This window comes from Homo sapiens, chromosome 15 (assembly GCF_000001405.40).
Source record: "Homo sapiens chromosome 15, GRCh38.p14 Primary Assembly".
Taxonomy (NCBI): Eukaryota; Metazoa; Chordata; class Mammalia; order Primates; family Hominidae; genus Homo; species Homo sapiens.
This window is the reverse complement of record NC_000015.10, coordinates 100,368,685-100,385,422: the sequence shown is the minus strand read 5'-3', so window position 1 is coordinate 100,385,422 and position 16,738 is coordinate 100,368,685. Positions and strand designations below refer to the sequence as shown.

The following is a 16,738-nucleotide window of genomic DNA, read 5'->3' as shown; positions in this document are numbered from 1 at the left end:
CCTTTCTATCTTTTCTATTGGGATTATTTTGTAGTTCATGTGGGTATGTGTTTTCCTTTTGCTAATTTGAAAGGTTTATAGTTGTGCTGGTGTTTCTAATGATTATATATAGGTTATATGAGAGATTGTAATTTCAGATATTCACTAGATTCTCCTAGTTTCCCCTCTTGCTAAAGTTCTGCTCAGACCAGGGAGCTGGGGGAAGCCTGCTCTGGGCGGCCCAGACCAGGGACTACAAAGTGACATTTGGCTCTGGCAGGGCCCTAAAAATTAGCCTTTCCTTCTGTGTGAGTGGCTGAGAAAGGAAAGGGGAATGTGAATCAAGTTTCTAATATGGAACCCTTTGTGTCCGCCTAACTGGGGAGGCACTCCTTAGGAAAGAGAGGGGATAACTGGGTCAACTGATACATTTTTACATTAATAAAAGTTGGGTATATTATATTTTACATTTTACTCAATCTGCAGTCCCTTAGGAATACTTCTAGGCTACTAGGTTTAAATTTCTATTGGAAACCCCTGTATTTTCTTGAGTTATAGGGAGGGAGTAAACTAAAGCCCTGAGGACGGCCTGGGGATTCCCGTGAACTCTCTGTGGGAACCTCCACCCACCATCTGTGACTTTGTGGAAGCCAGTGCTTTATCTTTCCGTCTTCCACTATCCCTGACAACAGGTGATTTTGTTGAGCTTTGCTTCCTGGGACTGGCATTAGGAAAACAACAGGCCATCACTGAGGATTGCTGGAGGGGTGGAATTTTAAAGGAGAAAACCTAATCCCAGCTAGGAGAAGGGTCTTGCCCAAGGTGGTAGCACTGCTTGGCCACACCCGTCCCATCTGGGTAGCCTGTTTTACCTTTTGGTAAAAGACTTTGGCCCCTTGCTGTCACAGCTGGGGCCTGGCTTCAACACAGGATTGGTGGAGTCTCTGCCAAGTGGCTGAAGGTTTCTCACTTGACCCTGGAATGGAAGCCCCGACACCCGCCCCGATGGCTGAAGGTTTCTCACTTGACCCTGGAATGGAAGCCCCGACACCCGCCCCGATGGCTGAAGGTTTCTCACTTGACCCTGGAATGGAAGCCCCGACACCCGCCCCTCAGGGCTTGGCTCCGAAAGCAGGCTGCTTGCTTCAGCAGTTTTCTTGGCTCCCTGCTCCCACAGCGACAGCCATGTCCCCTTCAGAGCCTCAACCACTGGCCTCCATGGATCTGTAACAGCCACCACTCAGCCCCCATGTGCGGTGAGCAAGTAAGTGACCCGGCCTGTCTCTCACAGTGAGCAAAGGCTTCTGGTCCAGATACTGTTCCGCAGCTGATGTGTCAACCTGCCCTGTGCTCCAGGGAAGCACAGATCTCCTCTCTCAGGGCTGTTGTCTCAGCTGCTTCTCCACAACCTGCAGCTCTGCCAAGCTGCCAAACTCTCCCTCGTCCTCCATGCTAATAAAACCTTCCACCAGGTGGCTCTCATGTTCCTGTGTAGGACAAAAATGAGGAAAAGAAGACAAAATGCCTAGGTTTTTAAAGAGAGAGAGGGGCAGGTGACAGAGAGAAATAAATGAGGGCCTTGTCCAGAACTGCTCTGAAGGACATCTGTCCCTTGGCAGCTGCCTCAGGTGCCCTACATTTACTCTGGGATTTGGGACGAGTCAAGGTACTCAGCTGTTGTGCCAGGCTTGGCATCACCTTGTGTGTCCTATTCCCACTGGTCACTGTGAGTTGTAGAAAGGTCCCCTGGAGCTCACTGCAAATGAGTCTTCCTTACCTATTGGGATCATTGAGAGGTCCCCAGTTCCTGTGGTGGACCTTTCATGGGGATTTTTTCTCTTTAAAACAATGCATCAGTAAAGGAATTCAGTGATAAGCAGGACCCCCTGGGCTCCTTCTGCACCAGCCTAGCTGGGTTGGAACAGATGTGGAGGCAACAAACACAAAGCCACGTGGAGTGATGTGGAACAGGCATGCCTCCTGGCCTGAGCTGCTGGGTTTGGGCTCATTCTCTTTTTCCATTCTAGGCTTTCCATGCTGCTGTTCTGAGGCAGGGGAAATGGGAAAGACTTTGCAACATTTACATTGGGGCCCTAAAATATAAACTGGATCTTGGAAGGCAGAGTTCAGCAGGCTGCCATGAATACTACTGAAGGACCCAGACACCATCAGGCTGGCATCCTACATGTGCTTGAGCAGGAGTCCGTAACCTGGACCTCACAGGGCTGTCCTCTGCAGAAGAATCTGACCCCTTGGCCCTGCAAAAGCAGACACACTGGGGTCAGGTCAGGGATGAGAGGGTGACAAGTCAGATGGCCAGGCAGCCATGGCAACTTAGTAGACGGTGCACAGCATGGCCAGCGAGAAAACGTATGGGGGCTGGGCGCGGTGGCTCATGCCTGTAATCCCAGCACTTTGGGAGGCTGAGGTGCACAGATCACTTGAGGTCAGGAGTTCGAGACCAGCCTGGCCAACATGGTGAAACCCTGTCTCTAATAAAAATACAAAAATTAGCCGGACATGGTAGTACATCCCTGTAATCCCAGCTACACGGGAGGCTGAGGCAGGAGAATTGTTTGAACCTGGGAGGCAGAGCTTGCAGTGAGCCGAGATGGCCCCACTGCACTTCAGTATGGGTGACAGAGCGAGACTCCATCTCAAAAAAAAAAAAAAAAAGCAAGAAAAGAAAATGCATGGGAAGGGCCAGGCCCGTGAGTAGGAGTGTTGCTTGGAATTTATTAGTAAGAATAAAGTACTGAACTGCAGATAATTTATTCTAAAAAAGAATGCATTCAGAATTATTTATCAAATTTCATCCAAATTATACATTTTATTTAATCAGTCTGCAGATGAGGAAAGGAAGGCAATTGAGGTGGAGCTACATGAAATGCACAGAAAATGGTTTCTGGAGTCAGGCAGCCCCTGACTCCAGGCAGCCTCTGACTCCAGAAACTCCAGTCGTGTGGGAATCACAGCCCACCATTTACAAGATAGACAGCCCGGGTCAACCACTTCATCTCTCTGAGCCTCTATTTCCTTACTTGTAAAAATGATGTCTTCCTCTGAGGTATGTTGTGAGGATTAAACGAGATACATTTGGAAGCACCTGGCACAGAAAAAGTGCTCGGAAAATATGAACTTCATTTCCAAAAAAGAAGCTGAGGTCACCCAAGCTGTGAACGGCGGAGCTTAGATTTAAACTTGGACTTTTAGCTGACTTCTGACAACCACACTCCTTGCATTGATGGATTAAAAATATTTATCGAGGCTCTCTGTGTGTCCATCTAAGGAGTTAAATTTATAACAAAATACCACACCATTCCTGACACCACTGAGTCTAGTGGATGAGGGACACTGGAAACACAGCGTATCAGTTAGGGCTCAGCAGGGAATGACACTCTATTCAAACAGTGGAAATTTCATGCAGATTTACATAGGTGTTGAAGGGCTAAGAAAAATCCAAAAGGGAGCACTGAGTTTCCCAGGTATCATGACTGTAGAAACTTGAGGCTTTTCCAGAATGTAGGCGCTTGGAGGAGAGGCCCCCTGGGACTAATGCATGGGTTCCCAGGGGATTGGCTCTCTATACCTGATCCCCAAGCTCTGGATATGTGGCTGGGCCTGGAAGCTGCTGGTTGTACCACCGAGAAGAGGAGTCCTGTGGCTGGTGCGGTTGGTGCTGGGACCTCTGAGAAGAGGACACAGACCAGTGGGTGTTGGGACCTCCACAGAGGAAGCCCAGATTGGCAGGTGAAGGAGGTGAAGGGGTAGTACCCTATTTCTCAAAGGGGTGCCACCTGGCTCAGGTGAAGATTGAGAGCTGGCAGCAGGGGCCATGGCATCAGCTACTGCTAACAGAAGCTAGCAATTAGGAAGGAATCCTCTTCTTATTCCCTTCCGTATTCCAGTTGTTGGGGTGATCGGACCCAACACCAGGTCATGGGGGTGACGAAGTCCGGTGGAGACAAAGGAATGAGAAAAGACAAGTTAAGAGAGAAAGTGGGACCAGGGGGCCAACGCTAGTATGGAGGCTGCGAAGGCCCCAAGCTCTGGGAGCTCACCCTATTTATTGGTGATCAAACAAAGAAACAGGTGGTGAGGATGTGGGGTTTGAAGGGAAGCGGTGTATCAAGTGAATGAGCTACAGCTGTGATGATTTAGCATGTTCTTTGACACATATGGCTACTTGAGATAATGGGAGTGCTAGAAGCAAGGAGCCAGCAAGTCCAGACACATTCCAAAGGCCAAGAGGGGGTTTAGACCTCGGGCCCCAGACATGTTCCAAGCCCTGCTTCAACTTCTCTCCCAACACTCAGCTTTTCTCCCAACATCAGTCCCTTATTAACAGTTCTTATTGGCAGATGTAACAGAAAGCCAACTGGCAAGGGAGTCTAGGACATAGAGTTTGTAGAGCCTCAGCCCCAGCAGCACAGAGCAGGATTTAGAAGGAAGGTTTAGAGTTGAGAAATATAGGTAAATAACTAGCCCAGTCTATCCCTTTGACAAATCAGCATGTATACGCACCTTTAAATGCATGTTTAAAGTTCAACAAATGGTGCTGGAACAATTGAATATCCACATGCAAAAAAAATAAATAAGTAAACTTGGATGCATACCTCATATGTGGTGATAAAACTGGGGGTTTGAAAGGCTTCAGACAACCAGCTTGAGCCTTGAGACTTTTGCCAAATTCTGAAACTCTACAGGAAGTAAAAAAGCTGAGTTTAAAACTAATGAAAAAATAGATGGGTCATCCTCTAGTCTCTTTGAGTTGAGACAAAAATCTCCCAAGCTCTCAAAAGAAAGCCCAGCTTTCTAGGGTTTACATTCAAGGAAGAAGGGGAAACCAGATGCAGGCTGGGTCTCCAAAAATATAAATGAATACATACGTAAACAAATGAGGCCCCAGGAAGACCTTACCCCTTCCACCATGAAGACACAGCAAGAAAGCACCATTTATGAACCATTTATGAAGCATTTCCTCACCAGACATTGAATCTATCAGATCCTTGATATGGAACTTCTCAGCCTCCAGAATTATGAGAAATAAATTTCTGCTGTTTCCATATTAATTGTAGGATGCTATTTATTTTTATTGTACACAAATGTTCAGAGCTGCATTATTGTTAATAGCGAGAAAGTGAAAACCAGCCAAATGTCTCTCAGCTGAGGAATGAATACATAAAATATTGGTACAGCCACACAATGGACTGTTATTTGGCAATAAAAAGATATGACATATCCATACTTTCGATAACATGGATGAACCTTGAAGCATTATGCTGTTAAAGAAGCTAGTCACAAAAGACTCATTGCATTTATATAAAGTGTCCAGAAAAGGTAAATCTATGGAGACAAAAAGTAGGTCTTTAGGGTGGGGACAGAATGTGGGGAGTATGAAGTGGCAGCGAATGGGTATGGGGGGGTTCTTTGACAGAGGACAAAAATACTCTAAATTATAGTGACGGCTGCAAAATCTTGTGAATATACTAAAAAATCAAAATTCAATAATTGGAAAAATTATACCACAGTGTTTAAGTAATGATAGCAATGATAGCAGATACTGTTTGGGGCTTTTGGTGTGTTGGCAATGTTTTTTTTTGAGATGGAGTTTCGCTCTTGTTTCCCAGGCTGGAGTGCAATGGTGTGATCTTCGCTCACCGCAACCTCTGCCTCCCGGGTTCAAGCGATTCTCCTGCCTCAGCCTCCCGAGTAGCTGGGATTACAGGCATGTGCCACCATGCCGGCTAATTTTGTATTTTTAGTAGAGTTAGGGTTTCTCCATGTTGGGCAGGCTGGTCTCGAACTTCCGACCTTAGGTGATCCGCCTGCCTCGGCCTCCCAAAGTGCTGGGATTACAGATGTGAGCCACCGTGCCCGCCCACAATGTTTTATTTTTTAAAATATGTATATTGACTATATATGTTTTCACTTTGCAGTTGTTCATGGAGTTATACATTTATGTTTTGCCCATTTTTCTACGTTAAGATTTTTTAACAGGATATAACAAGCAAGTGTTGCTGAGAAAATGGCCCCATCTCTAGTAGACTGGAGAGTCTACTATTTCACACCCCTGGGAATGTGATGGGAATACAGCAACACAACAGCTACTCTAAGGAAGAGCAACTTGTTTACTTAGAGAAATATGTCCAGAGAGAGCAACCTGTGTCCTGATTCCAGAGTCCTAGCTTCGGGAGAGGCATTGTGTCCCTGGGATGGAGTCTTTGAGGTCTGTCTTTGGGACACAGCTAACTGGCATCCCACGGAAGAGACCCCTAGCCTGTCTACTTATTCTAGAATGGCTTACACCACAAAGCTCTTTCTGCTACTGAAACACTGGGTTTTCCATCAAGTATAGCTGGATAAACTAATTTCTGAAGCAAAGGCAGACTCCAGGGATTTTTGAGAAAGAAAAGGCAGAGTCTTGCTCTGTCACCCAGGCTGGAGCGTGGTGGCACAATCTTGGCTCACTGTAACCTCTGCCTCCCGAGTTCAAGCAATTCTCCCACCTCAGCCTCCCGAGTAGCTGGGACTACAGGTACCTGCCACCACGCCCAGCTAATTTTTGTATTTTTAGTAGAGAGGGGGTTTCACTGTGTTGGCCAGGCTAGTCTTGAACTCCAGACCTCATGATCCACCCGCCTCAGCCTCCCCAGAGGTTTTGTATTTGTGAACATATGCCCTCAAAACATAACTAATACGTATTAATATTTCCTGTGTGTGCATTTAGTGTGGCTTATGCTCAGCTCTCACAAATTTCTTTTTTCTTTTTCTTTTCTCGGCTCACTGCAACCTCCGCCTACTGGGTTCAAGCAATTCTCCTGCCTCAGCCTCCCAAGTAGCTGAGATTACAGGCTCACACCACCATGCCCAGCTAATTTTTTGTATTTTTAGTAGAGATGGGGTCTCACCCTGTTGGCCAGCCTGGTCTCAAATTCCTGACCTGAGGTCATCTGCCTGCCTCGGCCTCCCGAAGTGCTGGGATTACAGGTGTGAGCCACTGTGCCCAGCCATGTTTTAAATTTTTAAGAGCCCTTTTCATTGTTTGAATTTTTTATGGTAAATTATTCTTCTTTAATGGATGTAATATCTTCTCATATCTTTAAGACTAATAGAATTTTTTTTTGAAGTTTTCTTCAAAACATTTCTGCACACTAGGTTTCCTTCAGTTGCATTTTTTTTTTTTCTTTTCTTGAGACCGAGTCTTGCTCTGTCGCTCGGTCTGGAGTACGGTGGCGCGATCTCAGCTCACTGCAGGCTCTGCCTCCCAGGTTCCAGCGATTCTCCTGCCTCAGCCTCCTGAGTAGCTGGGATTACAGGCGCACACCACCACGCCTGGCTAATTTTTGTATTTTCCACAGAGACAGGCTTTTGCCATGTTGCCCAGGCTGGTCTTGAATTTCTGGCGTCAAGCTATCTGCCCACCTCAGCCTCCCAAAGTGTTGAGATTCCTGGCATGAGCCACCGTGCCTGGCCAGAAAATTTCTTAAAAGTGTGTGGAACCCTTCCAAGCTGTTGACACCTGGGAGTTTGATCCTTGGACTTGTTTGATTTTCACAGAAAGATGTTCAGGAAAATAAGCAAGATGAAAATGATCTCAATGATGCCTGAATGGTTCATTGACTGAAACATCAAAGGTTGAGGTCACCCAATCAAGTCACGGGTGTAACTACCAAGTTTGTTCAGACACAGGGAAAATGACAGCACAGGACAGTTTGTGGACAATGATGTTAAGATGCACCCCAACCTCAGAGATGCTAAAATGAGAAAAAAAAAGAAATGCATCTTAGAATCTATGAAATAGGCCAGGCGCAGTGGCTCATGCCTATAATCCCAGCACTTTGGGAGGCCAAGGTGGGTGGATGGCTTGAGCTCAGGAGCTCGAGACTAGTCTGGGCAATATGGTGTAACCCCACCTCTACCAAAAATACAAAAAAAAAAAAAATAGCTGGGCATGGGGGCACATGCCTGTAGTCCCAGCTACTCAGGAGGCTGAGACTGGAGGATCGCTTGAGCCTGGGAGACAGAAGTTGCTGTGAACCTTAGCCTCTACTCACACCAGAGACAAAAATTAATTTGAAATGGATCATAGAATGAGTTCATGTCCTTTGTAGGGACATGGATGAAGCTGGAAACCATCATTCTCAGCAAACTATCGCAAGGACAAAAAACCAAACATCGCTTGTTCTCACTCATAGGTGGGAATTGAACAATGAGAACACTTGGACACAGGAAGGGGGACATCACACACCGGGGCCTGTTGTGGGGTGGGGGGAGGGGGGAGGGATAGCATTAGGAGATATACCTAATGTAAATGATGAGTTAATGGGTGCAGCACACCAACATGGCACATGTATACATATGTAACAAACCTGCAAGTTGTGCACATGTACCCTAGAACTTAAAGTATAATAAAATAAAAATTAAAAAAAAAGTATTACAACCTTGTACAGAACAGAAAAAAAAAAAGAAATGGATCATAGACCTGAATGTAAAAGCTAAAACAATAAAACTACAATAAAACATAAGAACATATGTTTGAGACTTTGATGTAGATAAAGATTTTTTAGATTGGATGCAAAAAGCACTAACTATGAAGTAAAATGTTAAATTAACAAGTCTCTGCTCATCAAACGGCATCATTATAATAGCCAAACACTGAATATATTTTCAAATGTCCATCAAGGAGAACTGATAAATAAATCAAAGTATATTTATACAATGGAATCTACTCTGTAATATAAAAGAATAAACAAGTGATACATACTGCAACATGGATGAATCTCCAAAATATCATGTTGGCTAAAAGATGTCAGAGACGATACCTATTGCATGGAATAATTTGTACAATGTCCAAACACAGGCAAAAATAATCTTAGATTATAGCAATTAGAAAGTGGTTTTTTTTGAGATGGGGAGAATTGACTGGGAAATTATGAAACTTTTTAAGTGATAGAAATGTTCTGTGTCTTATTTGGAGTTGTGGTTACCTGAGTGAATACCACTCTCAAAATGTTCAAATGAACACTTAAGATGTGTTCATTTTACTGCTTGTAATTATACCCCAATCAAATTATCCTGAATTCTCAGCAAACTAGGAAGAAAGGAGAACTTCTTTAACTTGATAAAGGACATCCAAAAAAAAAAATCCTGCAGGTAAAATTATACTCAATGGTGAGAAATTAGAAGTTCTCCTGCTAAGATCAGGAAAAAGTCAAGGATGTCCCCTCTCACAACTGCTATTTAACATAATACTGGAAGTCCTAGCTTATGAAATAAGACAAGAAAAGGAAATAAAAGATAATTGAATTGGGAAGAAAGAAAGAAACTGTCTTTGCGCTCAGATGACATGATCATCTATGGAGAAAATCAGAAAGAATTGACAAAAAAAAGCCTATAAGAAGTGATTATAGCAAGTTTACAGTATATAAGGTTAATATACAAAAGTCTATCACTTTCTTATATACCAGTAATGAACAAGTGGAATTTGACATTAAAAACATGTACCATTTAGCACCCCCACACAATGAAATACTTAGGTTTAAGTCTAACAAAATACGTATAAGATCTGTATGAGGAAAAGTACAAAACTCTGATGAAATAAATCAAAGTACTAAATATACGGAGCGATATTCCATGTTCACAGATAGGAAGATGCATTATTGTCAAGATGTCAGTTCTTCTCAACTCAATCTACAGACTCAACGCAATCCCAATCAAAATCTCAGCAAGTTATTTTGTGGATATTGACAAACTGATTCTAAAGTTTATATGGGAAGCAAAAGACCCACAGTAGCCATAAAAATACTGAAGGAGAACAAAGTCAGATGATTGACACTACCCAGTCTCAAGACTTACTATAAAGGTACAATACTCAAGACAGTGTGGTATTGGTAAAATAGACAAACAGATTAATGGAATAGTACAGAGCCCAGAAACAGACCCACACTAACATAGTCAACTTATCTTTGACAAACGAGCAAAGGCAATACAATGGCGAAAAGACAGTTTTTCTTCAACAAATAGTGCTGGGACAACTAGATATCCACAAGCAAAATAGTGAGTCTACACACAGACCTTACACCCTTCACAAAAATTAACTCAAAATTAATCATAGACCTAATCGTAAAACGCAAAAATATAAAACTCCTAGCAGATAACATAAGAGAAGGTCTAGATAACCTTGGGTTTGAAGATGACTTTTTGGATACAACACCCAAGATACAATCCATCAAAGAAATAATTGATAAGCTGGACTTTTAAAAACTTCTACTCTGAGAAAGACACTGTCAAGAAAATCAGAAGACAAGCTACAGACTGGGAGAAAATGTTTGTAAAAGATATATCTGATAAAGGACTGTTATCCAATATATAGAAAGAACTCTTAAAACTCAACAAGAGGCCAGGAGCAATGGCTCACACCTATAATCCCAGCACTTTGGGAGGCCGAGGCAAGTGGATTGCTTGAGTCCAGGAGTTTGCGACCAGTCTGGGCAACATGGCAAATCCGCATCTCTACAAAAAATGAGGCAGGCATGGTGGCACGTGCCTGTAGTCTCAGGAGGCTGAGGTGGGAGGATCATCTGAGTCCAGGAGGTCGAGGGTACAGTGAACCACGATCGTGCCACTGCACTCCAGCCTGGGTGACAGAATGAAATCCTGTCTCAAAATTCTTTACTGCCTCCATAGTTTTGCCTTTTCCAGAATCTCCTATAGTTGGAATCATACAGCATGTAGTTTTCAGATTGGCTTCTGTTATTTAATAATATACACTTAAGGTTCCTCATGTCTTTTCATGGCTTGATCCTCATTTCTTTTTAGGTGCTAATAAAGGAATTAGGGGGGTGGTAAGGATGGGTCAGCTCCTTTCCCCATCCAGCGAAGAAACCCTGCTAGGGTGAGAAAATAGATGGGAAGTTGAACGATGGGATGGGTGTCTTTTGGTCCCTGATTCTATTAAATGGGCCATGACAACCATCTCATTATACCTATCTCTTAGAATTAAGAAAAAAAAACAATCGGGAGCAATTCAACAAATCAAGTCAAATTATGGGCTTCCGGCACAAGAGGGACATCCAAGAACAGAGTGACCAAATGTGGTCCTTCTGATGAGAGTGCTCAGGAAAATGCCTGGCTGGGGGTTACTGCAGAGAGTCTGTGGTCACCTGCAGGGGCTAGTCCAGCCTCTGCAGGCACCACGACTGCGCTGGTTTGGGCACCTCAGTGTAAAGCTCACGCAGCAGCCCAGGATTGGGTGGGGGAAGGAGGGAGAGAGGGAGAGAGAGGGAGGGAGGGAGAGAGAGGGAGGGAGGGAGAGACAGGGAGGGAGGGAGGGAAGGAGAAAGAGAGAGAGAATGAATCACCAGAGCAAACCGAAGAGTGAATGGGAGACAGAGGGTAAGGGTGAGCGAGGGCAGGAGAGGAGATCCAGTAGGTCTTTCTGGAGTGGCCAGAGGGTCCCCACTCTCCCGGCTCTTCTCGGCTCCACCCCGCCCCCACCCCACTGGGGTCCTCACCGCCCCTCCCCCCGCCTCCCGACGCCCCTCCTTCCCTGCTCGCCCCCACTCTTCTGCCAGGCTCCCCGGCCGCCCACTGCTCCCTCCCTCCCGCCGCCCCTCTTCCCTCGCGGCTCGGCGCGCGGAGGCCCCGTGTGTCCACCTGAAGGTCCCCGGGGTGCGTCTGGCCGCCCGTCGGACCTTCGCTTTGGGGACTGCGTTTTATCCACGATAAACCATTTCCCGAGAAAGGGGTGAGCTCTGCTGCTGCCTCCGCGAGAGCAGGCGCCGGTTCAAGTCCTGCCGCCCCCGCCCAGCCCTGCACCCGTCCAGGCCACCCCGACAGCCGCGGCCTCGGCCGTGGGCAGGACGGGAAGGCTGCGAGGCCGGGCGGAGAGGCGCCCTGAGGCCGGAGCGCGTGAGGACGACCTTCCCTCGCTGGAGACGCCGCCGCCGCCGCGCCTGGCCGGGCTGCACCGGGGTCTGGGCGGAGGGCGCGGGCGCGCGGGGCCGCGAGGGGAAGAGCAGAAGCGGAGGCGAAGGCGAGGGGCGCCGCGCACCTGTCCCGGGCTGCACGGAAGCGGCTTCCAGTGGGGACTGGCGGTCCCTCCCGGCCTTCAGGGCCTACTCGCGGCTCTGAAACCCCAGTGCCAGGCGCCTGTCCTGGCCCACGCTTCGTCCACCTCCCGCGGGAAACCCCTCGCAGCGGGGGTCGGAGGGGTGCCCTGGGAGAGATGAGGGGGAGAAGCATGAGACCAGGTCCTAGGGGGAAAAAGAGAAACAAAAGGTCTGATTCCCTCCCTCCTCGCACCCCCTCCGTCTGTTTCTGGCATCAACTTCTTGCCAGGGGCTCCAGGGAAGGGGAATTTGATAACCACGTAACTTCACCCTCAGATGGCACAGGCCAAGGCCTTTCTGCGGAGCGGAGCTGCCGGTGATTTCCAGAATGCACTCACCTTTCTCCTCTCTTCGCTGTCTCTCTCTTTCCGTCCCTCATTCCCTTCTTCACTTCCTTCCCTTCTTCCCGCCCTCTGTTTTCTCTCCCTTCCTCCCTCCACCTTCCACCCCCCAACCCCTCCCCAAGATCTGAGTTGCACAGATCTGATGTAATCACACCCTGCACGGTGCCAGCAGAGAGCCATGCCAAGCTCTGATTTTGTTCTCTACTATTATTTTCCTCTTAATCCCCACTGCTCGTACTCAGAGTGGACAATTTGAGAATACAACATATGTACACACCAACGTTTCTACAGATGTGTACGTCCATGAAATCATCACCGCAATCAACATAGTGAACACATTCACCACCTCCAAACATCTCCTCCAGTCCCTTTATAATTTATTCCCCATGTACCTCTCTGCACTCCCCCTTCTCCAGGCAACCACTGATTTGTCAACACATTCATTTGTGTTTTCTAAAATTTTATGTAAATGGAATAATATACTATGTGCTCTTTTTTAAAAAAACAATTTCAACTTTTATTTTAGATTAAAGGGTACATGTGCAGGTTTGTTTCATGAGTATATTGCAGGGTGCTGAAGGTTGGGGTACAGATGATCCAGTCACCCAGGTAGTGAGTAGTAGTTTTTCAGCCCACGTTCTGTTCCACTCCCTCCCTGCCTCCCTCCCTCCCTAGTCGTCCCCAGTGTCTGCTGCTCCCATCTTTATGTCTATGTGTATTCAATGTTTAGGTCCCACTTATAAGTGAGAACATGCGTTATTTGGTTTCCCATTCTTGGGTTAATTCCTTAGGACAATGGCTGCCATCCATGTTGCTGCGAAGGACATGACCACAATGAGATAACGTCTCACACCGGTCAGAATGGCGATTATGAAAAAGTCAATAAACAACCAATGCTTGTGAGGCTGCGGGGAAGAGGGAACCCTTATACACTTGCTGGGAATAAAAACTAGTTCAGCCACTGTGGAAGGCAGTTTGGAGATTTCTGAAAGCACTTAGAACTGCTATTCGACCCAGCAATCCATTACTAGGTATATACCCAAAGGCAAGTAAGTCATTTTATCAAAAAGGCACGTGCACCCATATGTTCATCAAAGCGTTGTTTACAATAGCAAAGACATGGAATCAACCTAGATGCCCATCAGCAGTGGATTGGATGAAGAAAATGTGGTACCTATACACCATGGAATGCTAAGCGGCCATAAAAAGGAACATCCGTTCTTTCCTTCAGTCTGGCTTCCCCTACTCAATAGTTATTCTGAGATTCATTTATATCGTTGCAGGTATACCTAGTTCATAATTGTTTATTCCATTGTATATTCTATATTCTACACTCTGCTTGTCTGTTTACCTGTTCAGCATTTGGATTGCTTGCATTTGGGGATATTACAAATAAAACTGTCATGATCATTCATTTACAAGTCTTTGTATAGGTATATGCTGGGTAGGTGGATGTTTAACTCTTTAAGAAGCTGCCAAAATGTGGTTGTACCATTTTATGTTCTCACCAGTAATGTACAAAAAGTTCCAATTCCTTCACATCCTCACCAACACTTAGTGTGGTTAGTTTATTGGAGTTTTAAATTTGCACTTCCCTAAAGACTAGTTAATGATATTGAGCACCTGTCAAAATTTATTTTCCATCTATATATCTTTTTCTTTCTTTATTTATTTTTATTTATTTATTTATTTTTTATTATTATACTTTAAGTTTTAGGGTACATGTGCACAATGTGCCGGTTAGTTACATATGTATACATGTGCCATGCTGGTGTGCTGCACCCATTAACTTCTCATTTAGCATTAGGTATATCTCCTAATGCTATCCCTCCCCCCTCCCCCCACCCCAAAACAGTCCCCAGAGTGTGATATTCCCCTTCCTGTGTCCATGTGTTCTCATTGTTCAATTCCCACCTATGAGTGAGAACATGTGGTGTTTGGTTTTTTTGTCCTTGGTGATAGTTTACTGAGAATGATGATTTCCAATTTCATCCATGTCCCTACAAAGGACATGTACTCATCATTTTTTATGGCTGCATAGTATTCCATGGTGTCTATGTGCCACATTTTCTTAATCCAGTCTATCATTGTGGGACATCTGGGTTGGTTCCAAGTCTTTGCTATTGTGAATAGTGCTGCAATAAACATACATGTGCATGTGTCTTTATAGCAGCATGATTTATAGTCCTTTGGGTATATACCCAGTAATAGGATGGCTGGGTCAAATGGTATTTCTAGTTCTAGATCCCTGAGGAATCGCCACACTGACTTCCACAATCGTTGAACTAGTTTACAGTCCCACCAACAGTGTAAAAGTGTTCCTATTTCTCCACATCCTCTCCAGCACCTGTTGTTTCCTGACTTTTTAATGATCGCCATTCTAACTGGTGTGAGATGGTATCTCATTGTGGTTTTGATTTGCATTTCTCTGATGGCCAGTGATGGTGAGCATTTTTTCATGTGTCTTTTGGCTGCATAAATGTCTTCTTTTGAGAAGTGTCTGTTCATGTCCTTCACCCACTTTTTGATGGGGTTGTTTGTTTGTTTCTTGTAAATTTGTTTGAGTTCATTGTAGATTCTGGATATTAGCCCTTTGTCAGATGAGTAGGTTGCGAAAATTTTCTCCCATTTTGTAGGTTGCCTGTTCACTCTGATGGTAGTTTCTTTTGCTGTGCAGAAGCTCTTTAGTTTAATTCGATCCCATTTGTCAATTCTGGCTTTTGTTGCCATTGCTTTTGGTGTTTTAGACATGAAGTCCTTGCCCATGCCTATGTCCTGAATGGTAATGCCTAGGTTTTCTTCTAGGGTTTTTATGGTTTTAGGTCTAACGTTTAAGTCTTTAATCCATCTTGAATTGATTTTTGTATAAGGTGTAAAGAAGGGATCCAGTTTCAGCTTTCTACATATGGCTAGCCAGTTTTCCCAACACTATTTATTAAATAGGGAATCCTTTCCCCATTGCTTGTTTTTCTCAGGTTTGTCAAAGATCAGATAGTTGTAGATATGCGGCATTATTTCTGAGGACTCTGTTCTGTTCCATTGATCTATATCTCTGTTTTGGTACCAGCACCATGCTGTTTTGGTTGCTGTAGCCTTGTAGTATAGTTTGAAGTCACGTAGCATGATGCCTCCAGCTTTGTTCTTTTGGCTTAGGATTGACTTGGCGATGTGGGCTCTCTTTTGGTTCCATATGAACTTTAAAGTAGTTTTTTCCAGTTCTGTGAAGAAAGTCATTGGTAGCTTGATGGAGATGGCACTGAATCTATAAATTACCTTGGGCAGTATGGCCATTTTCATGATATTGATTCTTCCTACCCATGAGCATGGAATGTTCTTCCATTTGTTGGTATCCTCTTTTATTTCATTGAGCAGTGGTTTGTAGTTCTCCTTGAAGAGGTCCTTCACGTCCCTTGTAAGTTGGATTCCTAGGTATTTTATTCTCTTTGAAGCAATTGTGAATGGGAGTTCACTCATGATTTGGCTCTCTGTTTGTCTGTTATTGGTGTATAAGAATGCTTGTGATTTTTGTACATTGATTTTGTATCCTGCGACTTTGCTGAATTGCTTATCAGCTTAAGGAGATTTTGGGCTGAGACGATGGGGTTTTCTAGATATACAATCATGTCATCTGCAAACAGGGACAATTTGATTTCCTCTTTTCCTGATTGAATACCCTTTATTTCCTTCTCCTGCCTAATTGCCCTAGCCAGAACTTCCAACACTATGTTGAATAGGAGTGGTGAGAGAGGGCATCCCTGTCTTGTGCCAGTTTTTGAAGGGAATGCTTCCAGTTTTTGCCCATTCAGTATGATATTGGCTGTGGGTTTGTCATAGATAGCTCTTATTATTTTGAAATACGTCCCATCAATACCTAATTTATTGAGAGTTTTTAGCATGAAGAGTTGTTGAATTTTGTCAAAGGCCTTTTCTGCATCTATTGAGATAATCATGTGGTTTTTGTCTTTGGTTCTGTTTATGTGCTGTATTAAATTTATTGATTTTCATATATTGAACCAGCCTTGCATCCCAGGGATGAAGCCCACTTGATCATGGTGGATAAGCTTTTTGATGTGCTGCTGGATTCGGTTTGCCAGTATTTTACTGAGCATTTTTGCATCAATGTTCATCAAGGATATTGGTCTAAAATTCTCTTTTTTGGTTGTGTCTCTGCCTGGCTTTGGTATCAGGATGATGCTGGCCTCATCAAATGAGTTAGGGAGGATTCCCTCTTTTTCTATTGATTGGAATAGTTTCAGAAGGAATGGTACCAGCTCCTCCTTGTACCTCTGGTAGAATTCGGCT

General features: G+C 44.7%; 1 long non-coding RNA gene across 1 annotated transcript in view; it reads right to left on the bottom strand.

Moving 5' to 3' along the window:
- CERS3-AS1 (CERS3 antisense RNA 1) overlaps nucleotides 1-12,484 on the bottom strand; it is a 64,976-nt gene extending 52,492 nt beyond the window's left edge. Inside the window, exon 1 of the long non-coding RNA NR_120374.1 lies at nucleotides 12,431-12,484. This is a non-coding gene — a long non-coding RNA (CERS3 antisense RNA 1). The remainder of the gene's footprint in view (nucleotides 1-12,430) is intronic.
- Nucleotides 12,485-16,738: the final 4,254 nt, after the last annotated feature.